At 37.8% G+C, this 25,460-nt stretch overlaps 1 protein-coding gene and 1 pseudogene across 4 annotated transcripts in view; one reads left to right on the top strand and one right to left on the bottom strand.

The window, feature by feature from the left end:
- LCOR (ligand dependent nuclear receptor corepressor) overlaps positions 1-25,460 on the bottom strand; it is a 163,659-nt gene that overhangs the window by 56,903 nt on the left and 81,296 nt on the right. The window lies entirely within an intron of this gene.
- On the top strand, positions 23,049-23,532 carry HMGN2P35 (high mobility group nucleosomal binding domain 2 pseudogene 35; annotated as a pseudogene).

Raw genomic sequence — 25,460 nt, 5'->3', positions numbered from 1 at the left:
TTTAGACTATTTGAAGTCTCTTAAATTTTCATATGAATTTTAGGACCAGCTTGTGAATCTCTGCAAATAAGTCAGTTGGGATTTTGGTAGAAAATGCACTGAATCAGCGTATCAATTTGGGAAGTAATACCATAGTAACAATTTTAAGTCTTCTGATCCATGAACATGTCTTTCCATGTAATTTCTTTCAGTAACATTTTGTAATTTACAACATACAAGTCTTATATTTCTTTTATATTTATTCCTAAGTGTTGTATTATTTTTGATGCTACTGTAAACAGAACTGTTTTCAAACTTTCATGTTCATATTGTTCACTGCTAGTGTATAGCAATACAATTATTATTTTTTTTTAATGACGGGTATTCTGAACCTTGCTGAACTTGTTAAACTCTAATAGTGTTTTGTAAATTTCTTGGGATTTTCTATATACATCATCATGTCATCTGTAAAACCAAGACAGTTTTACCTCTTCTTTTGCAATTTGAATGACTTTGGTTTCTTTTTATTGTCTAATTTCCCTGGCTAGAACCTCATGTACAACGGTGGATGTACATGGTGAGAGTGGACATCCTGCCTTGTTTCTGATCTCGGGGGAAGCTGTTCCATCTTTTAGCTGAGTGTTTTTGTAGTTCAGATTTAGAAAGTTCTCTTCTATTGCTAGTTTGTTGTGTTTGTTTTTACATCAAGAAAACGTGTTGGATTTGGCCAAATGCCATTTTGGAGGGTGTCTACGGAGATGATCATGTGGTCTGTGTCACTTACTCTATTAACACATTGTATTACAGTAATTAAGAGTGTTAAAAACCAGCCAGGTACAGCGGCTCATGCCTGTAATTCCAGCTCTCTGGGGAGGATCGCTTGAGCCCAGGAGTTCGAGACCAGCCTGGGCAACATAGGGAGACCCCCGTCTCTACAAATCAGTTAAAAAATTATTAACAGCTGGGCATGGTGGTGCACATCTGTGGTCGCACCTACTTGGGGGCTGAGGCAGGAGTATTTCCTGAGCCTGGGAGGTCAAGGCTGCAGTGAGCCATGATTGTGCCACTGTGCTCCAGCCTGGACGACAGGGCAAGACCAGGGCGAGACCCTCAAATAATAAATAAATAAATAAATAGTTAAACCAACTTTGCACTCCTGGGATAAATTCCACTTGGTTGTGGTGTATAACACTTTTTATATGTTGCAAATTTTGATTTGCTAATGTTTTGTTGAGGATTTTTTTGTGCTGGTACTCATAAATGGTATTTGTCTGTAGTTTTCTTGTGATATCTTTGGTTTTCGTATAAATAATACTGGCCTCCCAGAATAAGGACGTCTTCTCTCTTCTCCTATACTTTGAAAAAGTTTGTGAAGAAATGGTATTAATTTGTCTTTAAATGTCTGACAGAATATGCCAGTGAAGGCAGAGTGTGGTGGCTCACACCTCTAATCCCAGCACTTTGGGAGGCCGAGGCGGGCAGATTGCTTGAGCCCAGGAGTTCAAGACCAGCCTGGGCAATATCATGAGACCCCATCTCTATTTAAAAAAAGAAAGAAAAAATATATATACCAGTGAAGATACCTGGCCATGGGCTTTTCTTTGATGGGAGTTTATAAATTACTAATTTAATCTCAATACTTGTTCTAAGTATTAGTTCCCTAGGGGTGTTATATTTTATCACAAACTGGGTGGCTTAAAACAGCAGAGATTTATTCTCTCACAGCTCTGGAGTCCAGGCACCCAAAATTAGGGTGTCAATAGGGTCATTTTCCCTCTGAAAGGTCTAGAGAAGAGTCCTTCCTTGCCTCTTCCTAGTTTCTGGTGGTTGCTGACAATCCTTGGCATTCCTTGCCTTGTGGCAGTGTAACTCCAATCTCTGTCTCCATCTTTACATGGTCCTCTTCCCTGTGTGTGTGTCTGTGTCTCCAAGTCTCTTTCTCCTTATAAGGCAACCAGTCATTGGATTTAGGGTCCACTCTAATCCAACATGACTTCATCATAAATTGATTACACCTGCAAAGACCTTACAGTGGTCCCCTCTTATCTGCAGTTTTGCTTTCCACAGTTACCCATGGTATAGTACAATAAAATATTTTGAGAAAAGAGAGAGAATATTCACATAACTTTTGTTATAGTATATTGTTATAATTGTTCAATTTTATTATTAGTTTTAATCTCTTATTGTGACTAATTTACAAATTAAGCTTTATCATAGGTATGTGTGTACAGGAAAAAAACATAGTATATATAGAGTTTGGTACGATCTGTAGTTTCAGGCATCCCCCTTATAAGGGGGAAGACTACTGTATTTCCAAATAAGGTCACATTCACAGGTACCAGGGGTGGATTCATGTTTTAGGGGGACACAATTCAATCTGCATCATAGATTTATTCAGATTTTCTGTTTCGCCTTACATCAGTATTGGTAAGTTTGTAACTTTCTAGGAATTTGCCTATTTCATCAAATTCTCTAAACTGCTGGCATACACATTGTGTTCACTGTATTCCCCAATTCTTTTTACTTCTGACTTCCTATATTTCATTTGTGATTAGTAACTTGAGTCTTCTATTTTTCTTGATCAGTGCTAAAGTTTACCTAATTTGATATTTTAAAAAAACCAGTTTTTGGTTTTGTTGATTTTCTCTATCATTTTTTACATTACTTCATTTCTTTCTGCTCTCGCATCTTTATTATTTCTCTCTTTCTGCCTGCTTTGGGTTTAGTTTGCTCTTCTTTTTCTAGTTTCCTAATGTGGATGATTAGGGTATTGATTTGAGATATGCTTTTTAAACACACATCCTCTAAGTACTGCTAAGTACATCTCATTCGTTTTGGTAAGTTTTAAAAATTCATCTGAAACTAGTTTCTAATTTCCTTTGCCTGATCCAATAAAAGCTGGTGGGCCCCTTTGCAGGGGCATGTTGTTGCCAGTGTTTGAGGTTTGCTCCAACCCCAGGAGGGCTCTTAGCTGTCTCTTATTCTGATTATCTGTTAAACGTCTAACAGGGGAATCTCAGAGCCTACTGTGGCTCGGGAGGCTGCCCGATTCATGAATCAAATAAACAAACATTTAATAGGTCTGTCATTTCACCTGTTGCTACGAATATGATGGACCTTCCAGGTGTCTCTTAACTATTCACACAGATCTTCATCATTTTCAACACCTTTAGGTGTGAGATTTTCTAAGCCAGAGAGTTCTGGAGTTCTCTGTTTTTGTCGTTGTTGTTTGTTTGTTTAAAGACAGGATCTTGCTCTGTTGCCCAGGCTTGAGTGCAGTGGCACAATCACAGCTCACTGCAAGCCTTGCCTTCCTGGGCTAAGGCCATCCTCCTGCCTCAGCCTCCCAAGTGGCTGAGATTACGGGTGTGTGCCACCACACCAGGCTAATTTTTAAAATATTTTGTAGAGAAGGAGTCTCACTCTATGCCCAGGTTGTTGCAGAACTACTGGCCTCAAGCAATCCTCCTGCCTTGGCCTCCCAAAGTGCTGGATTACAGGCGAGAGCCACCACACCCTGCTGGAATTCTGTTTGTAAAGTCAACCCTTCCAATAAAATGAACCAGTAAGAATAAAAAAGTTTGTATGACATACAACTAACAGAGCTAATAAAATAGCCAGGAGATGACCAGGCGCAGTGGCTTAAGCCTATAATTCCAGTACTTTGGGAGGCCAAGGCAGGCTGATCACCTGAGGTCAGGAATTTGAGATCAGCCTGGCTAACATGGTGAAACCCCATCTCCGCTAAAAATATAAACATTAGCCAGGGGTGGTGGCACGTACCTGTAATTCTAGCTACTCAAGAGGCTGAGGCAGGAGAAATGCTTGAACCCGGGAGGTGGAGGTTGCAGTGCGCCAAGATCATACCACTGCATTCCAGACTGGGTGACAGAGTGACACTCTGTCTCAAAAAAAAAAAAAAAAAAAAAAAAAAAGTAAAATAGCCAGGAGATAAGGAAAAGTTAAAGAAACCAATTCATGTCATCTCCCCTCAGCTGAATTCTAAAATAATACATTATTGTATAGTATGGCAAATAACAAAAAGATGCAAAATCTTCTGTAACTCAAAAACCATTTTCTTTGCATTTATTATTCCTAATAAATTTAGGAATATTTATTATTAAAGAACAAGTTGTTGGCATAAAACTAAATAGGAGTAAAGTTGGAGATTCAGACCAGGTGCGGTGGCTCACGCCTGTAAACCCAGCCCTTTTGGAGGCCGAGGCGAGCAGCTCATTTGATGGCAGGAGTTTGACACCAGTCTGGCCAACATGGCAAAACCCTGTCTCTACTGAAAATACAAAAATTATCCAGGTATGGTGGCGCATGCCTGTAATCCCAGCTACTCAGGAGGCTGAGGCACGAGAATCTCCTGAACCCAGGAGGCGGAGGTTGCAGTGAGCCAAGACTGCGCCACTGCATTCTAGCCTGGGTGACAGAGTGACACTCTGTCTTAAAAAAATAAATAAAAATAAAGTTGCAGATTTCAACTGGAATTTCTATCTCCTAGGAGGAGTTGCTTCCTTCAGGATGCAGAGACTGGGCCACCTAGATTGGCTGGCTCATAGGCAGAAGTGGCTCTGTTATATAATCTACTGTGAGCTTCTTAGGAGCATATATGCCTAGAAGTCCACAGAGCTTATGACTCTATAGCTCTAGGGTAGAAAGCAGTCCTTAAGCTTTTTAAAAACTCTCTCCTTAATAAACAACTGAAAAAATGAGGGAGGGATGAGAGTAGAAGAATTAAGGCATTTGTTACAGTGACACCACCATTAACCCAAAGGGTTTCCTCCATCTCTCATAGTCCTATACTGTTTACTTAATGGACTTTTGGCTTAAATTCAGTTACACAAAAACAATATATGTAATCTTACCTAGAGAATCCATTTAAAGATTATAAAGCTTATTACCATCTTATTTGAATCCTCTGAATCTGGATTACTTTAAAGATAACTTTATTATTTTCCTACATTAAATAAGAGTTGTTGTATTTAGAATTAAGTCTCGCCAAAGCTGTGAAATTTGCTAAGGTGAACATCACAACTTTTTTCCTGACAAAACACTTAGCAGAAAAATATGCTAAACAAATGCTATAAAACTCTTCAATCTATGGAACTTCAAGAAACTAGACAGCTGTAAATTGTTGAGTCAGAAGTATTTTCAAAGTGAATTATTTCATGAACTACATAAGAGAAATCAATATTGAAAAATCCAAGTGTATCTTTTTATTTGTGTTTTAATCTATTAAGAGTCTTTCGGCCAGGCACGGTGACTCATGCCTGTAATCCTAGCACTTTGGGAAACTGAGGCGGGTGTATCACGAGGTCAGGAGTTCAAAACCAGCCTGATCAACACGGTGAAATCCCATCTCTACTAAAAATACAAAAATTAGGCAGGCGTGGTGGCATGCACCTGTAATCCCAGCTACTCAGGAGGCTGAGGCAGGAGAATTGCTTGGACCCAGGAGACGGAGGTTGAGTGAGCCCAGATCGTGCCACTCCACTCCAGCCTGGGCAACAGAGCGAGACTCCATCTCAAAAAGAGTCTTTCCATCTGTAAATTGAAACCAATTCCATTTAAGCTACTAACTTTATATTAACTTAACCAGGGACTTGTGTTCTTTTGTCTTTTATTCCTCTATATAAATAAAGGTTTCACCATTTATCAATAAAAATTTATAAGCCACAATCATCTATAGTTTCATTTTTCTTAAAGCAAATATATTGCACAGAAATCCTACAAGGTTTATGCTTTTATAAATAATGCTTGTTCTTCTCATTCTCTGGAAGATCCTGAAAAAAGCTACCTTGTACACAAAGCTATAAAGAGAAAGTAAAAACAACTAGTATTCTCAACAATCTTAGCTATGAACTGCCAATCATTTGATATATTCCCCTAAAAAACACATACGCAGACATATTAACTTAAAAAAATTAAATGAGACTCACACTGAAGATCATTTTACTTATCCTCAATTAATATTAGGATTTTCTTTCTTACATTGTTACATATTCTTCAAAAACACTTATCTTAATAAATGTACCATAATTTGCAATTAGACCAGTTTTTTATTTTGTTACTATAACTGTGCATTTTAATGAATTTGTTCCACATTCTCATTATTTCCTTGGGATAGATTACTATAAGAGAAACCATCAACCAAAATAAACAATTTCTTCCTTTCTTGAAACATATTCACAAACTTTTTTCTAAGGAAAAGTTATACCAATTTGTATTCCCACTTGCAGTGTTCGGGGTACTATGGTGCAACACTTGTAGACATCAGATTTCATTGGTATACAATGATTCTTTGGTCCAGGCATGGTGGCTCATGCCTGTAATCCCAGCACTTTGGGAGGCCGAGACAGGTGGATCACAAGGTCAGGAGATCGAGACCATCCTGGCCAATATGGTGAAACCCCATCTCTACTAAAAATACAAAAATTAGCCAGGTGTGGTGGCGTGCGCCTGTAGTCCCAGCTACTCGGGAGGCTGAGGCAGGAGAATTGCTTGAACCCGGGAGGCGGAGGTTGCAGTGAACCAAGATCGCACCACTGCACTCCAGCCTGGGAACAGAGCGAGACTCTGTCTCAAAAAATAAAAATAAATAAAATAAAATAAAATAAAATAAAAAAGGTTCCTTGTTTCAATTTGCACTTCTCTGATTACTGGTAAGGATCAATATGTTTTAATGGTTTATTGTTCTTATATAGTTTTTTCCTTTCCTATGAGTTTACTGGAAGCAATATAATGATTAACCAATAATAATTCTAGCACCATCTACTGAATAACACTTAATTTTCCAAGCAATGTTTGAGGGTACTTTTTATAAAATCATCATAATAGTTCTATAAACATTAATTTCATTTATTGATTTATTTTTCAAATCTATCGTCAGTGGCATATTTTTAAAATTACATAAGTCTTAGCATTTAGGAAGGAAAATCCCCCTCATTATTTATATCTTTAAGATATCCTGGCCATTCTAGCTTTATTCTTCAGATTATATTTAAAATCACTTATAAAGAAAGATCAAAGACCTAGATTAGTGAATTCTGCTATCCCCCCAGCAAAAGCTCCCCAAAGACATACAATGTGTTTTTGATCACAATAGCATTATACCTAGAGAGTAATTCAGAAAGAGTAATATCCTTAAAACATTCAGTCTTCTCTTTTAGGAACTGTTTAAATTTACCCAAGTGGACTTTAATGGATTTCAAAGTTTATTCACACAGTTCCCACGTACTTATTATCTTACTTTTTTCTTGTCATTATGAAAAGGATTTTTCTTTTACTTCCTAACTGCTGCTGCTGAAACAAATGAAGAATGTATTTACATATGTTTGTATATAAAATTTAATTTTGTATACAGCTTTCAGGAGAAAGTGTAGGTCCATCTATCTTCAGGTTGTTATGTTCTCTGGTAGACTCACTACTTTGCGTCCACTTCCCAATATCCTTTAAGTAATTTCTTTTAAAGGAGTTGTGGAAGGTGGTAGGGAGAAGCAGAAAGAAAAAGAGCTATAGAAACTACCAATGCTGCCAGGCGCAGTGGCTCATGCTGTTAATCCCAGCACTTTGGGACACCGAGGCAGTGGATCACTTGAGGTCAGGAGTTTGAGACCAGCCTGGCCGACATGGTGAAACCCCATCTCTACCAAAAATACAAAAAAACTACCCAGGCATGGTAGTGTGCACCTGTAGTCCCAGCTACTCAGGAAGCTGATGCAGAAGAATCACTTGAACCTGGGAGGCGGAAGTTGCAGTGAACCAAGATGACACCACTGCACTCTAGCCTGGGAAACAGAGCAAGACTCCATCTCAAAGAAAAAAAAAAAAAAAAATACCAGTGCTTTGTGGTGTCACCATCCATCACCCAAAACAGGGGAGGAAATACAATACTAAATGGGCTGAGATATTTTCCAACAGGAAAAGCTTTAATAATAATATTATAAATAATATTTGTCATAATTTGTAATAATAGTAAAAGCTTTACAAATATACACTTTTATTATCTAATAGGAGCCTTTATTATGTTTTCTAGGAAGGGCTATAAAGTATCTAAAATACATTTTCAAATATGGAGTTTGTCTAGCCCATTTTGTGCTGCTATAATAAAATTCCTGAGAGTAAGTCATTTATAAATAACAGAAGCTTATTTTCTCACAGTCTGGAACCTGGAATTCCACAATCATGGCAACAGCATTCGGTGTCTGGTGAAGGCCTTCTTGCTGCGCTCTCACATGGCAGAAGGCAGAGAAGGGCAAGTAAGCTAGCCTAACCCTACACCAAGCCCCTTTTTTAATTCCATTAAGGAGGAAGGAGTCCTTATGGCCTAATCACCTCTTAAAAGGCCCCACCTCTTAATACTATCACATTGGCAACACCTGAATTTTGGAGAGGACCCATTCAAAGCACAGCAGTTTACTCTACGCTTTTCTCCACAATTTAAAGTAGCTCTCTCTCAAAGCCACTAGAAATGCTTTAGGAAGTTATTCGGGTTGAAGGGAAATGACAGTATAAAAACACTGCTGAGAGAAAGTAAAAACTAATACAGGTGAGATAAACTATGTAAACTGAAATACCACTACTGACGTGGCAATTCTTTCCAAATTAATCGAAGTTTCAATACAATCCTAATCAAAATCCTCAAAGGTTTTTTCAAGAATTGGTAAGGTGATTATAATCTTTATAAACTTTATAAAGAAAGATCAAAGACCTAGATTAGCAAAACAAGTTTGAAAAACTAAAAAACTGGAAGACTCATACTACTAGATTTCTACATTTAAAGATATAATAAAGACACTGTGGTACTGGTGTAAGGACAGACATATAGATCAATGGCATACAACACAGGCACACCTCACTTTATTGCACTTGGCAGATACCGTGTCTTTCACAAATTAAAGGTTTGGGGCAACCCTGTGTCGACCAAGTCTAGTGGTGCCATTTTCCCAAGAGCATATGGTGACACCACTTGGTGTCACATTTTTGTAATATTTGCAATATTTCAATCTTTTTAATGGTTACTATTCACAGTGGTGATTCCTAATTAGTGATTTTTTATGTTACTGTAGTGAATTATTTTGAGGTCCCACACACTGCACCTGTATAAGATGGTGAACTAAATTGATAAATGTTAGGTGTGTTCTGATCCACTGAACACCTGTTCCCTTGTCTTTCTCCCTCTCCTTCGACCTCCTATTCCCTGAGACACAATATAGAAATTAGGCCAGTTAATATACTTTACAATGACCTCTAGTGTTCAAGTGAAAGGAAGAGTTGCATGTCTCTCACTTTAAATCAAAAGCTTGAGCTTTTGATTTAAATGATTGAGCTTAGTGAGGAAGGCATGCTGAAAGCTGACAGGTCAAAACATAGGTCTCTAATGTCAGTTAGCCAACTTGTGGATGTAAAGGAAAAAGTTCTTAAGGAAAATTAGATGTGCTACTCCAGTGAACACAAAAATGACAAAGTAAAACAGCTTTATTGCTTATATGGAGAAAGTCTGAGTGGTCTGGATAGAAGATCAAACCAGCCACAACATTCTCTTAAGCCAAAGCCTAATCCAGAGCAAGGCTCTAACTCTCTTCAATTCTATGAAGGCTGAGAGGTGAGGAAGCTGCAGAAGAAAAGCTGGAAGCTAGCCGAGGTTGGCTTATGAGGTTTAAGGAAAAGAAGTCATCTCTGTAACAACAAAAGTGCAAGGTGAAGTGGCAAGTGCTGATACAGAAGCTGCACCAAGTTATACAGAAGATCACTCTAAGATCACTGATGAAGGTGGCTACACAAAACAACAGATTTTCAATGTAGACAAAAAGGCCTCATACTGGAAGATGTCAGCAAGGACTTTCATAGTGAGAGAGGACAAGTCAATGCCTGGCTTCAAAGCTTCAAGAACAGGTTGATGAGATTGTTAGAGTCTAATGCAGTGGTGACCAAAGTTGAAGCCAGTGCTCATTTACGATTCCCCAAATTCGAGGGCCCTTAAGAATTATGCTAACTCTACATTGCCTGTACTCTATAAACAGAACAACAAAGCCTGGATGACAACACATGTGTTTATATTATGGTTTACTGAATATTTTAAGTCCCCAGTTAAGACATACTGCTCAGAAAGAAAAAAATAAAGATTCCTTTAAAAATATTACTGCTCACTGACAATCCACCTGGTCATTCAAGAGCTCTGATGGAGATGTACAAGGAGATTAATGTTGTTTTCATGCCTACTAACACAATACCCATTCTGCAGCCCATGTATCCAAGAGTAATACTGACTTTCAAGTCTTGTTACTTAAGAAATACATTTCGCAAGGTTATAGCTGCCATAGCTGGTGATTCCTCTGAAGGATCTAGGCAAAGTAAATTAAAAACTTTCCGGAAAAGATTTGCCATTCTAGATGCCATTAAGAACATTCGTGATTCAAGAGAGAAGAACAAAATATAAATATTAACAAGAGTTTTGAAGAAGCTGATTCAAACCCTCACAGATGACTTGGAGAAGTTCAAGACATCAGTGGAGGAAGGACCTGCAGATATGGTGGAAATGGTAAGAGAACTTGAAGTGGAGCCTTAAGATGTAACTTAATTGCTGCAATCTCGTGACAAAACTTGAAAGGGTGAAGAGTTGCTTGTTATGGATGAGAAAACAAAACAGTGGTTTATTTTTTTTTAAATGAGTCTACATCATGTTTTGAAGAAAGTGGTTTCTTACGATGGAATCTACTCCTGGTGAAGATGCTGTCAACATTGTTGAAATAACAACAAAGGATATAGAATATTAAGCAAACTTAGTTGATACAGCAGCAATGGGGTTTGAGAGAACTGGCTCCAATTTTGAAAGAAGTTCTACTACGGGTAAAATGCAAACAGCCTCACATGCTACAGAGAAATCTTTCCTGAAAAGAAGTTAATCCATGCAGCAAACTTCATTGTTGTCTTCTTTCAAGAAATTGCCACAGCCACCCCAACTTTCAGCAACCACCAACTTGATCAGTTGGCAGCAGTCAACATCAAGACAAGACCTTTCACCAGCAAAAAGATTCCAATTTACTGAAGGCTCACATAATTGTTAGCAATTTTCAACAACAAAGCATTTCTTAGGTTATATACATTGTTTCTTTATATATAATGCTATTGCACACTTAACAGACTACAATATAAACATAACTTTTATATGCACTGGGAAACCAAAAAAATAATGTGACTTGCTTTATTGTGACATTCGCTTTATTATGATGGTCTGGAACCCAATCCACATTATCTCTCAGGTATGTCTGTAGGGTCCAGAAATATACCAACATGTATATGGTCAAATGACCAAACAAAGATGTCAAGGTAATTCAATGTGGCAAAAGACAGTCTTTTCAACAAATGGTGCTAGAACAAATGGATTTTCTTTTGGAATATAAAACCTCAACTCCTACCTCACACCATATAGAAAAATTAAATAGAAATGGATCAGAGATCAAAATATAACAGTTACTACTAAACTTTTAGAAGAAAACATGAGATTTTCTTTTGCATTTGGTATAGGCAAAGATTTTTTTGAACAGGACATTAAAAAACATAAATTTTAAGAGAAAAAGATTGATAAACTTCATTGAGATAAAAAAAAAACTGCTTTTCAAATGACGCAAAGAAAAAGACAAGCCTCAGAGAAAATATTTGTATAACATACCTGACCAAAGGGTTTATACAAAATATATAAAGAATTATTATAACTTATAATAATGTTTTCTAAAATTGGTAAAAGATTCAAACAAACACATCACATAAAATATATAGATGGACAGGATGCTCAACCTCACCAGTATCAGGGAAATAAAAATTAAAACCAAAATGAGATACCACTACACACACCCACTAGAATGGCTTATGTTAAAAAGACTGATGATACCAAATGTTGGTAAGACGAGGAACACTGGAACTCTCATACACTGCTGATGGAAACACAAAATGGTTCAGTCACTTTGGTAAACCGTATCATAATATAACGTTAAACATATATTTACAATACCACTCAGCAATTCCAACTCTAGGTATTGATCCCAAAGAAATCAAACAATATGTCCACAAAAAGATGTACACAATTAAGTCATAATAATCAACATCTGGAAACAACTCAAAAGTCCATAAAAAAGTGAAATGATAAACAAACTGTAGCATATCCATGCTATGGAGAACTACTCAGCAATAAAAAGGAACAAAAGCTTATATACAAAAACAAAAATAAAACCCAAAAAATTATGCTAACAAAAAGAAGTCAAACATAAAAAAACTATGTATTTTATGATTCCTATTATATAAAATTCTAGAAAAGGTAAAACTCATAATTGTGCAGGTCTGGGAGTCTGGGAAGGGGACTGACTATAAAGGGCACATACAAACTTCTTAGGGTGAGGGAAATGTCCTGTGTCTCTCACTATGCTGGTTAGACAACTGTATACATTTACCAAAATTCATCCAAATGTACTCTTTGGATGAATTTTATTGTACATAAATACTATCTCAGTGCCTAAATATCATTAAAAATAGGTTCAGGGTATTAAAGATACTGAATATATCACTGACTTTCAACTCTTGAACTAATCACTTGAAATCAAAGAAATGATTTTTGCTTGTTATTTGTGTCACAAAGATATGTCACAAAGATATGTGATTATTTTCAAAACTTCACTTGACTATCTTTCCCCTAAAAAGCAAGCATACATTTAAGTTGAAAACCTATGTATTTTACTTTCCATAAATTTCTTTGCACAATATTCTGAAAGGATATGCTGTTAGTGGCTATGAGTTAACGACATTTCAGTATTTTTGCTACCACCAAAAAATGCAAACCAAGATAAGGAGGCTACTGCCCAATGGCTGATGTTTGTGAATGAAGCTGTATGCAGATGGGCAAAAAAGGGGGTATGTGTATCAACAATTCCTCACCAAAGGAACCAGATCTCTTTAGAAAAATGGATTCCATTGTTAGAGCAGGAAAAGGACAAGATGAATTTAGAACATCTTGTAACAGAATTTAAGAGGTGCTCATAAAAAGCCTGGGACATGTCAAAAGGACACAGGAGGTGGCCTGAAAGGGGCTTCCACTGACCAAATATGAAACATTAACAGAAAACTTATTGCATAGAATAAGAATCCTGACTTCAAACTGATACAGGAAAGGGACAGGTCTTCCTCAAAGTATAAAGCTAACTAAAAAATACAGAAGAAAAAAAGGGGTTAAGAAATTACCATTTTCCATCTATCAGAGCAACTGATTTAGGCAAGAAACTATCACTGATACTAAAACTAAAATGGATCAAAGTTTGATAAGATGTTTATACAGCCTCAAAGTATCTCCCCACAAATAACTTATTTATTATAAAGGGGAAAATAGTAATATTTCAGTGGAGAAACCTGGCAGACATCAACTCACCAAGTGATCAAAGTTAACATCACACATACACACACAAAAATAAAATAAAATAAAATAAGTAAAAACAAAGTTAACATCACCTGATTAAACTGGCATTGTATGCTTCATGATATGATGCATAAAGGAGGATATATCACTTATTTAATAATTTATCACTTATTTAATATTATGAACTTAATCATAAAGAAACATCAGAAAAACCTAAATTAAGAGAAATTCTACAAAATAAATGTTCCATCCTATTAAAAAATGTCATTGTCATTAAAAATAAATAAAAGGGCTGGGCCCAGTGGCCATGCCTGTAATCCCAACACTTTGGGAGGCCGAGGCAGGTGATCACCTGAGATCAGGAGTTCAAGACCAGCCTGGCCAACATGGTGAAACCCTGTCTCTACTAAAAATACAAAAATTAGCTGAGCGTGGTGGTGCACACCTGTAATCCCAGCTACTCAGGAGGCTGAGGCAGGAGAACCACTTGAACCCGGGACGCGGAGGTTGCTGTGAGCCCAGATTGCACCACCGTACTTCAGCCTGGGCAACAGTGAAGCTCCATCTCAAAAAATAAATAAATAAATAAAAATGAAAATAAATAAATAAAATAAATAAATAAATAAATGGTTGAGGAACCATTCTAGACTAAAGGAGACTAAAGAGTAGTGGAAATCAAATTTAATGAGTGATGCTAAATTGGATTTTAAACTAAGAAGGGAGAATATAAAGGTCACTGGGATAATCGGTAAAATTTGAGTAAGATTCATATATTAGGTAATATTATATCAGGGTTAACTTTCCTGACTTTGGAAACTATATAGTGTGGTTCAGTAAGCAGATATCCTTGTTCTTAGGATAAAGGGAAATACACACTGAAATATTTAAGAGTAAAGAGGTCTGAGGGGTGTGATGTCCACAACTTATTTTCATATGGCTCAAGAAAATGCCTGCGTTGTAAGTAGTAATTATGACAAAGAACAAAAATGACTAAATAATAAGGCAAATATGGCAAAATAACAATTGGTGAATCTCGGTGAAGGGTATATAGGTATTTTTGTACTAGTCCTGCAACTTTTCTGTAAGTGTGAAATTACTTCAAAATAAAAAATTTTTTAATGTGGCTGGGCGCAGTAGCTCACATCTATAATCCCAGCACTTTGGGAGGCTGAGGCGGGTGGATCACTTGAACTCAGGACTTTGAGACCAGCCTGGGCAACATGGCAAAACCCCATCTCTACAAAAAATACAAAAAACAAACAAACAAACAAACAAACAAACAAACAAAAACAAATTGGCTGGGCGTAGAGGCACACGCCTGCAGTCCCAGCTACTTGTGGGGCTGAGGCTGGAGGATGACTTGAGCCCAGGAGGTTGAAGCTGCAGCGAGCCGAGATCACGTCACTGCACTCCAGCCTGGGTAACAAAGTGAAACTGTCTCAAAATAAAAGTAAGGTGGACAAAGATGGAGCCCTACTTTTCTCCCACAAGCCAGTTTCCTTTGTTTCTCCTCCACCTTCTCCTCCATAATCCCAGCCGTCCTGCCATTAACTTATATTTGCTTGTGGTACAGGTACTGGTACCTGATTTGAGGATGAAGAGAAAGAGAATAAAAGCAGCATATGGAAGTGAATGACTTTCAGACTTCTCTTAATATCTCGAGAACCTGGTGAAGATATTAAAAACAGAGTACACAATTTTCTGTCAAGGGCCGGAGAGTAAATATTTTAGGTTTTACAGGCCAGATAGAGTCTCTGTTGCTTACTCTGAGTTGCTTACAACTCTTTAGCTTGTGGGTATTATAAAAACAGCCTGTGGGCTAGATTTAGTGACAAGTCTTAGTTTGCTGACCCCTGATAAAGAGAACTGTTAAGATTCCTCCAAGAACTGTAACAGAAATAGCTCCAATGGTCCCTGAAATAGCAAAGATATCACTGAATAAACAAAGCTACAAAATTATGTCAGCATGGAATCTAGTCCTTAAGGCAATAAATAGTTAATATGGTTAAATTTTTAACAATAAAGATGAACATTTCCGAAAGTTTCTTTTGTAGCTCTAATATCTGTCACCTTGTGAGTTTAGATGTGTTTTGGGTGATAAGATTAAAGGAGGAGGATGCTTACTTACATAGTGTTACTTATTTTCTATTTGAGAGGTAAGACCTCAAGAGAGGAAACAGAGGATACAATGCAGTTTCAATAGGAAAGGGTAGGATGGCCTAGACTGCAGAAGTGTGACAATAGGATGACATTTTAATGCCACCCCTGTCTAAACTCAGTGCTTGGATTCTCCAAATTTAGGTAATATTGTTTTAAATTCATACTATAGGATAGAGAAAATTTGGGAATTAAAAGCGTGTGAACACATGCAGGTTTTGTAATAATTATGTTAGCAAAGACTCCCCGAATAGACAGATCATGGGCCTACAGCTACAGCCATATCTGCTACTGACATTTCAAGCAATGAGCTAAAAAGAGCTGACATGATGCAACTCATTGATTTAAATGCCACTTTCCTACATCTTATTACTTTAAATGCCAACAAGTCTTAGGGGAAATGTCTCCACCATTTAAATGTCCATACACTTTAAGGTCAATTATCTAACAGAAAACCTTACTTTGCTTAAATTATTGCTTTTTACATAAAGTATGAATTGTGCTTAATATAATCTTTGCCATATGTCAACGTTACCACTGACTGTTAAGCAGACTATCAAGTTAATGAATAGAAAACCAAAAAGTTTGACACTAGACACACTTGAAGAGTTAAATACGGCATTCAAAATGTACAAACCTACCACAAATGACTCTTGTCAATATATATATTACTGCTCATAGAAATTAAGCCTAAAGGGTAAGCAGCAAATGGCTATTATTACTATTACACTAGTTAATTGACCAGTATCTATAATCAGCATTTGCTGTTGATAGTTTTATCCATTATACATGTATAGTTTTTAACAACATTAAACGAAAAAAGCAAACCACCCCCACAGACAATAGCAAGCATTTCTTTATGCCTCTATTGGTTGGAAATTCAAAGTTTATACTACTCCCAATATTCATGCTCAGCCCAATCTCAATCAGAAGGTTCCCTGAATTTCAATCTGCTCTTCATAATGACTTTGGCTAAGACTATTACAAATGCAAGAATATCCAACTGCATATTTGAGGCAATCGCATTATAAAGCCTGGTTGAGAGTAATTTTGCCATTTTCTAAATTCCTATAGGACTTTCTACTATTCTGACAGCAATAGTCATTAACTTGTGTATTTACTTCTATTTTTAATCTCCTCCAACAGACTGTAAATTCCTTGAAAATAATATCTGTGGCCAAAACTTCTTTCTTTCACTTATAGCATCTTTATTGATCCCACAGTGGCTGGTCCTTCTGATGTAGGAAGAACGAAATATATAGTTGTTGATTTTAAATTTAGAAAAAAAAAACTTAGGAAATTTTATTTTTAAAAATATATAAGAAATAAAAAGGCAAAGACTTAATATTGCCAGCTGATACAATCCAAAATGATCTACACATTTAATGCAATCCTTATCAAAATCCCAATGGCATTTCTGGCAGAAAAAACATCCACCCTGAAGTTTCAAGAGATCCCAAATTGCCAAAACAATATTGAAAAAGAAAAACATTCTGGGTTTGACACCTCCTGATTTCAAAACTTATTACAAAGCTACAGTAATCCCTCCCAGAATGTGGTGCTAGTAGACATTCAGACAGACACATAGACTAATGAAACAGAAATAGATAGTCCAGAAATAAACGCTCAGATGTGGTCAGATGATTTCCTACAAGGGTACCAACACGATTCAATGGGAGAAACAATTCTTCTCAGCAACTGGTGTTGGGAAATGTGGTCATCCACATGCTGCTAATGAAGCTGGGCTGGGGGCCGTGGCTTACACCAGTAATCCTCGCTCTTTGGGAGGCCAAGGCAGGTGGATCACTTGAGGCCAGGAGTTTGAGACCAGCCTGGCCAACATGGTAAAACCCCATCGCTACTAAAAATACAAAAAAATTAGCCAGGTGTGATGGCATGCATCTGTAATCCCAGCTACTCTTATGGCTGAAGCACAAGAATCGCTTGGATCCAGGATGCGGAGGTTGTGGTGAGCCAAGATTGTGCCACTGTACTCCAGCCTGGGAGATAGAGCGAAACTCCGTCTCCAAAAAATAAAAATTAAAATTAAATAAAGAATGAAGCTGGATCCTTGCCGTACACCGTATATAAAAATTTACTCAAAATAGATTGAAGACCTAATTGTAAGAGCTAAAACTATAAAACTTTTAGAAGAAAACAGGGTTCGGAAAGCTTCACGACACTGGATCTGGCAATGATTTTCTGTATACAACTCCAAAAGAACAGACAACAAAAGTAAAAATAGATAAATTGAATTAAATCAAATTTTTAAATTTTGTGCATCAAAGGACACAACAGAGTGAAAAAATAAATTATAAAATGGGAGATAATTTGCAAATTATATATCTGATATGGGGTTAATATTAAGAACATATAGGCTGGGGGTGGTGGCTCACACCTGTAATCCCAGCACTTTGGGAGGCCAAGGAGGAAGGACAGCATGAGCCTAGGAGTTCTAGGATTCTAAGAGTTCTTGAGTCTAGGAGTTCAAGACCAGCCTGGGCAACATGACAAGGCCCCATCTCCACAAAAAATTTAAAAATTAGCCAGGTGTGGTGGCAAGTGCCTGTGGTCTCAGCTGCTTGGGAGGCTGAGGCAGGAGGATTACATGTGCCCGGGAGGTCACGGCTGCAGCAAGCAGTGTTTGCACCATTGTACTCCAGCCTGGGCAACAGAGTAACATCCTGTCTCCCGCCCACCACCCCCCCACCGCGCGTGTGTGTGTGTGTGTGTGTGTGTGTGTGTGTGTGTGTGTATACATATATACACATATATATGAACATATATACATATATACACACATATATGAACATATATACACATATATGAATATATACATATATACATATATACACATATATACACATATATGAATGTACATACATATATACACATATATGAATATACATACATATATACACATATATATGAATATACATACATATATACACATATATATGAATATACATACATATATACACATATATCTGAATATACATACATATATACACATATATATGAATATACATATATATACACATATATGAATATACATATATATACACATATATACACATATATATGAATATATATACATATATACACATATATACACATATATATATGAATGAAGAACTACAATTTAACAAGAAACAACCGAATTCAAAAATGGGCAAAGAACTTGAACAAGACATTTCTTTAAACATGATATACAAATGACCAACAATCACATGAAAAGCTGTTCAGCACTATGAATCACTAGGGAACTGCAAACCAAAACCACAACGAGATACTACTTCACGTTCATTAGCATGGCTACTATTAAAAAAAAAAATACACCCACGGAAGAAAACAAATGAGGGCAACAATGCGGAAAAATTGGAACCCTTTAGCCTTGCTGGTAGCACTGTAAAATGATGCAGCTGATGTGGCAAAGTCTGATAATTTCTCAAAAACTTAAAAACAGGATTACCATATGATCCAACAATTCCATTTCTAGGTATACACAAAAAAGAACTGAAAGCAGGATCTCAAAGAGGTATCTGTATACCCATGTTCATAGCAGAATTATTTATAACAGCTAAGAGGTGAAAGCAAACCAAGGGTCCACTGATGGATGGATGAACAAAATGGGATATATACATAAGTGGAATATTGTTCTGCTTTAAAAAGGAAGGAATTCTGACACATACAACAATATAGAAAAACATAAGGACACTATCTTAGGCAATACAAGTCAGTCACAAAACGACAAATACTATATGATTCTACTTATATATCTGGAATAAGCAAACTCATTGAGACAAAAAGTAGAACAGTGGTTGCCAGGGGCTAAAGAGAGGAGGAAATGGGAGAGTTACTGTTTAATGGACAAAGAGTTTCCATTTTACAAGATGAAGAGAGTTCTGGAGACTGGTTGCACAACAATGCAAGTACTTAACTACTCATCTTGTACACCTAAATATGGTTAAGATAGTAAATGTTATGTATATTTTACCGTAATTTAAAAAAATAAAAAGATACAATCCATGAAGAAAATGCAAATAATTTCAAAAAAGATGGAGACCTAATAAAAGGGGAAGGGGGGAAGAGAAGCAGAACAAATACAAGCTTTCATAATTGAGGGGAAAGAACAAAGAAAGTCTAATGTGCAAATACCAGTTCATAAGAAAGGAAAGAAAAAAGTGAGACCTACACTCATGGGCAGAAAGAAAGAAAATACTGACTCTATTAAGACATTCAAATGAAACACTGAGGCTCTATGGAACTCTAACCCTAATTTTTATATAAGTAGGCATATTCTAAACTTACTCAGATCACTGATTAATTCTAAGAATCTCCTTAAGCAAGCTATCGAAAACAGATTTTCAGAGAATCATATAATTTTACAGTTGAAAGGTACCTCAATGTGTATACATTTCAACTGCCTCATGGTTTTTACACTGACAAAATATAAAATACAAAAATAAGATTTTGTTTAATATCTAGACTTCAGTAGTTTTTTATACTTAACGCACTGCTAGAGATAACGAAATCTTATTACTTTTCTTGAAACTTTACCTTTTTTGTTGCTGATGTAACTAGAAAACTTTGAGCAGTGCTGCAGATGAGAGAAGTACAGTTACTACGGCCTATTCCACCTTACTATTGTGTTAAACAATGCTTTCATATCTAACAGTTTCTCACCAGTCACTGCTCTCACTGTGAGGGCAAAGTCAGTTGGCCACGGTTCTTATATTCAGGCATTCATGCCTGATTTAATTCCTACCAACTGTAACTCCTGAAGTTACACTGACTGTATTCTAATTCCAGTAGGAATCTCCTACCAATGTCCAGTAACTAATACCTTGTTGGTTCTCTTACAATCTTGCCTTTTCCAACTGTTCCCTCCTTTTAATTTCTTCATCTCAGCTTCTTCTATGAGTATAGTACTTAAGCTTCTCCCTTTAGCTCTCAAAATCTTTACTTAAATCCTTTGCCTATTCTTCTATGGTGCTGTTTTCATCATTCCTTTCACTGACAACTTTTCAAGCCAGTAGCGTGTATTCATTTCTTAACTCCCACCAACACCCACATATTCATCAATGCTGTCAGACTTATAGTCTGTCCCTCACAACCAGAATTCTTGAGAACCTATTCTCTCAAAGCCCATTGTAGTATGTTTGGAGGGTACTTGCTCAACCCATCTGAGGTCCATTCTGGGAAATGGTACAGGAGTCCACATTAGTTTGACAAACATGACAACCCATCCCCCCTGTCATTATAGAGTATGGGGCCAGGAAGACAACTGATGCAAAATGGGTAACTCATTTATTTTATGACTCTATCTTATTTTTAATCTGATTCTTACTTCCTAAAATGAAGGTCTTCTATAAAACTCAGTATTTTGTGCTTTACTCCTTAGAAACTTCGTTTGCTCAAATAATCCAATCATGTTTTCAGAAACCCTCTCCAATATATCTTCACCCCAGACCTTTTATTTCAACTCATTTCCCACAACCCTGTCTACTGGACACTTCCAATTAAATGTTCACTCTCACCTCAAAATGCTTTGAGCTATCTCCATTCTCTCCTCATAAAACTGGCCACTGCACCAAAACTTTCCCTTCTCTCTTCTTGACTTCTAATTGACTTTTAATTTCATGCCAAGCCATCTGGGATGGAAGCCTAACGTCAGTATCACTTTCCTCTCCCTTATTTATATATTTACGTAATCACTAAGCTTCGACAACTCTTTATTCCAGATTCTCTACGCACATCTCTTCCTTATGCATCTTCACAGCCATGACTCTAGAACAGTTTCATTTTGTGAATTATTATAAGACCCTCCCATAATTTTCTCGCTGTAAATCCTTCTGTACTACATCCTAAAAACAATTACCAAACCAACCACTCTAAAACACACACAGATCCTTTTAAAGTTCAGTTTGAGTTCTAACTTCTAGATTAAGCAACTCCAGTGTCATCTACTGCACCTCTCAAACTGCTACAGTACTTATATTTTCTTGTATTAGCTACTATCTCTAAAATACTACATATGGGAATGAGCATGGGATTTTACTTTTAATGTTCCCTGCATATATGAGAATTCTGGTTCTGGATGCACAGCATGGATGATTTAAAACTCCTTATAGATTACAAGTCTAATTGCTTTTGCCACTCATAGTTTCCCCAATATTCCACAAGCCAAGAGGGGACCAGGTCTTTTACTTCTCTGTTATCTTCTCTGGCCAAACACAGAACCACACATTTAATAAACCTGCCAAATGATTAGTCTATTCATTGACTCTGACCACATAAAACTGAACAGAGCAGTCACCAATTAATGATTTCTCCTTGCCTGTGTTTTTTGCAAACAACTCTACGAACTGGGAGACAAAAAATAAACTCTTTGATATTTCATGGAATCTCTTACTGAGCACTGATTCATATCAAGCAGTTTTAATCCTAAATAATCTATACCAAACGTCTCTGGAAATTTAACAAGGTTAGACCCAGCAATTTAGATTTGTACAATTAACTGAGCACCTAATTAACACGTATTAATTTGTGATATCTATTTCACTCTGCATTCTATTAAATCTCACATAGAGGCTGGGCACAGTGGCTCACGCCTGTAATCCCAGCACTTTGGGAAGCCAAGGCAGGCAGATCACTTGAGGTCAGGAGTTCAAGACCAGCCCGACCAACATGGTGAAACCCCATCTCTACTAAAAATACAAAAATTAGCTGGGTGGGGTGGCGTGCGCCTGTAGTCCCAGCTACTCAGGAGGTTGAGGCACGAGAATTGCTTGAACCCAGGAGGTGAGGGTTGCAGCGAGCTGAGATCGTGCCACCGTACTCCAGCTTGGGAGACAGAGCAAGACTCCGTCTCAAAAAAATAAATAATCATATATATAGATATATATATATATATATAGCCTTTAAATATCTCATATGTGTTTCTTTCTCACTCTTGATAGAAACTATATTGAAATTTTTTCTTCCATAGTTCCTTTTATATCACAGGTAAATACTTATTGATTTGTAGTATTCTGGTGTAAGATGACAGGCAAGTCACATTGAGCAGGTTTGAATATGCCCAAAGTATTCAACATAAATACATGTTGAAGAATACAATATAAAAGTAACAACTAGATTTATCATCTGCTTGCTGTTAATATAAACTTTCAAGGGGGCCGGGTGTGGTGGCTCACGCCTGTAATCCCAGCACTTTGGGAGGCCGAGGTGGGCGGATCACGAGGTCAGGAGACTGAGACCATCCTGGCTAACAAGGTGAAACCCCATCTCTACTAAAAATACAAAAAGTTAGACGGGAGTGGTGGCGGGCACCTGTAGTCCCAGCTACTCAGGAGGCTGAGGCAGGAGAATTGGGTGAACCCGGGAGGCGGAGCTTGCAGTGAGCCCAGATTGCGCCACTGCACTCCAGCCTGGGCAACAGAACGAGACTCCGTCTCTAAATAAATAAATAAATAAATGAATAAATAAAAACTTTCAATGGGAACAGTGTGAAGAAGAGGTGAGAATGACCCTTGGACTACCAAAGGCCACGCACCACTGCATCCTGCGCCTAGCACCTACATCCTGCCGCCGTCGCTGCCAATATGCCTAGAGAAAGGCTGAAGGGGATGCTAAAGGAGATAATGCCAAGTTAAAGGACTAACCACAGAGAAGATCTGCAAGGTTGTCTGCTAACCCTGCTCCTCCAAAGCCAGAGCCCAAGCTTCAAAAGGGCCCTGCAAAGGAGGGAGAGAAGGTACCCAAAGGGAAAAAGGAAAAAGCTGATGCTGGCAAGGAGGTGAATAACCCTGTAGAAAATGGGAAATGCCAAATCAGACCAGGCACAGAAAGCTGAAGGTGCTGCAGATGCCGAGTGAAGTGTGTGCATTTTTGATAACTGTGTACTTCTGGTGACTGTATAGTTTGAAATTCTATTTTTTACCAAGTTTCATAAAAATGCAGAATTTTGTTTTATTTATTTATTTAGGAGACGGAGTCTCACTCTCTCCCCAGGCTGGAGTGCAGTGGCGCAATCTCGGCTGACTGCAACCTCCGCCTCCTGGGTTCAAGTGATTCTCCTGCCTCAGCCTCCCAAGTAGCTGGGACTACAGGCGCACGTCACCACGCCTGGCTAATTTTTTTGTATTTTTAGTAGAGACACGGTTTTACCATGTTGGCCAGGATGGTCTCGATCTCTTCACCTTGTGATCTGTCTGCCTCGGCCTCCCAAAGTGCTGGGATTACAGGCGTGCACCTCCGTGCCCGGCTTATTTACTTACATATTTTTAAAAGCTATGCTGTGAGCACACAGAATACTTCATTGTCGTTTTTGGGGGAAGGGGCATAGGTCACTAATAGAATGTCTCCGAAGCCAGACTGTTGTGGGGAAAACACCTTTCCCTCCTAGTTTTGAGAGACTTCCTCTTGGCTTCCAGGAAGTGGGATTCCCTGACTTTGATACACGTGGGCACCATGGCACAAAAGCCTTGTGGTATAGAAAAACAAATGCATCTTTATGTCTTCTTCTCCCTTTCCACCTTTCAACACAGACTTAACTCCCTTAAATCCAGACATCTGTTGGGACCTGACCCCCAATAATTGGTTACCAGTGTGTCAAGCAATCTGGACTTCCCAGTGATGCACTGAGATGGCACCCCTCAAAAGAGCAGTGGTTCCATTTCTAGATAGTGGATCTTCAGATAAATACTGCCATTTTCATTTCACTTCCTTAAAGTCAGGGTCAGCTCTTGAAAATTTGTCAACCCTCACTCTAAACTTTACCCATTCAGAGCATTAGATAAAGACTTCATTCGGTTTTATAGTGGCTTTCTGATTTTTGGTAGTCCACTGAAGAAGGGAGTTTGAAAGTTCTTCTATACTGTTAACAACTGTCTGCCCATGTCCTGCTTTTAAATACTACAATTGTTTATCGAAAGTATCTTTAATAAAGATGGATACAGTTTGGCTTTGGGAAAACAAAAAACTTTCAATGTATTAAAATAGCAATAAAGGCCAGGCGCGGTGGCTCGCGCCTGTAATCCCAGCACTTTGGGAGGCCGAGGCAGGCGCATCACCTGAGGTCAGGAGTTCGAGACCAGCCTGACCAACATGGTGAAACCCCATCTCTACTAAAAATACCAAATTAGCCAGGTGTGGTGGTGGACACCTGTAATCCCAGCTACTCAGGGGGGCTAAGGCAGGAGAATCGCTTGAATCTGGGAGGTGGAGGTTGCAGTGACCCAAGATGGCGCCACTGTACTCTAGCCTGGGCAACAAGAGCGAGGCTCCGTCTCAAAATAAAATAAAATAGCAATAAAACTAAAATGTTAAAGGGATATAACCAAACAATGCATATTCACGAATTGGAAGAAATTAAGAAACATTCAGCAAAATATGCTGATACAATGAAAAAGATCTAGTTACATGACTCCTGAGCTAGCTGGGCACTGAAAGGTATCTATTATCTGGCTCCAACCATATCACTGGTTACTTCCAAAAATAAATGCCCTGTTCCAACCAGGATGTGCCCTTTCATCTCTGCTCATCCAGACTTATATATTCTTCAAAAACACAGATCAAGTTCTAACTTCTTTTTTTTTTTTTTCCAGACAGTCTGTGTGTGTCGCCCAGGCATGATCTCGGCTCACTGCAACCTCCAGCTCCTAGGTTCAAACGATTCTCGTGCCTCTCAAGTAGCTGGAATTACAGGCATGGGCCACCACAGTCAGCTAAAATTTTTGTATTTTCAGTAGAGATGGGGTTTTGCCATGTTGGCCAGGCTGGTCTCAAACTCCTGGCCCCAAGTGATCTGCCTGCCTGAGGCCTTCCAAAGTGCTGGGATTACAGGTGTGAGCCACTGCACCCAACCTCAAGTTCTAACTTCTTGAAACACTCTCCTAATATGCCAATCAAA

Source organism: Homo sapiens, chromosome 10 (assembly GCF_000001405.40).
Source record: "Homo sapiens chromosome 10, GRCh38.p14 Primary Assembly".
NCBI lineage: Eukaryota > Metazoa > Chordata > Mammalia > Primates > Hominidae > Homo > Homo sapiens.
This window is presented reverse-complemented; position numbering and strand designations above follow the sequence as displayed.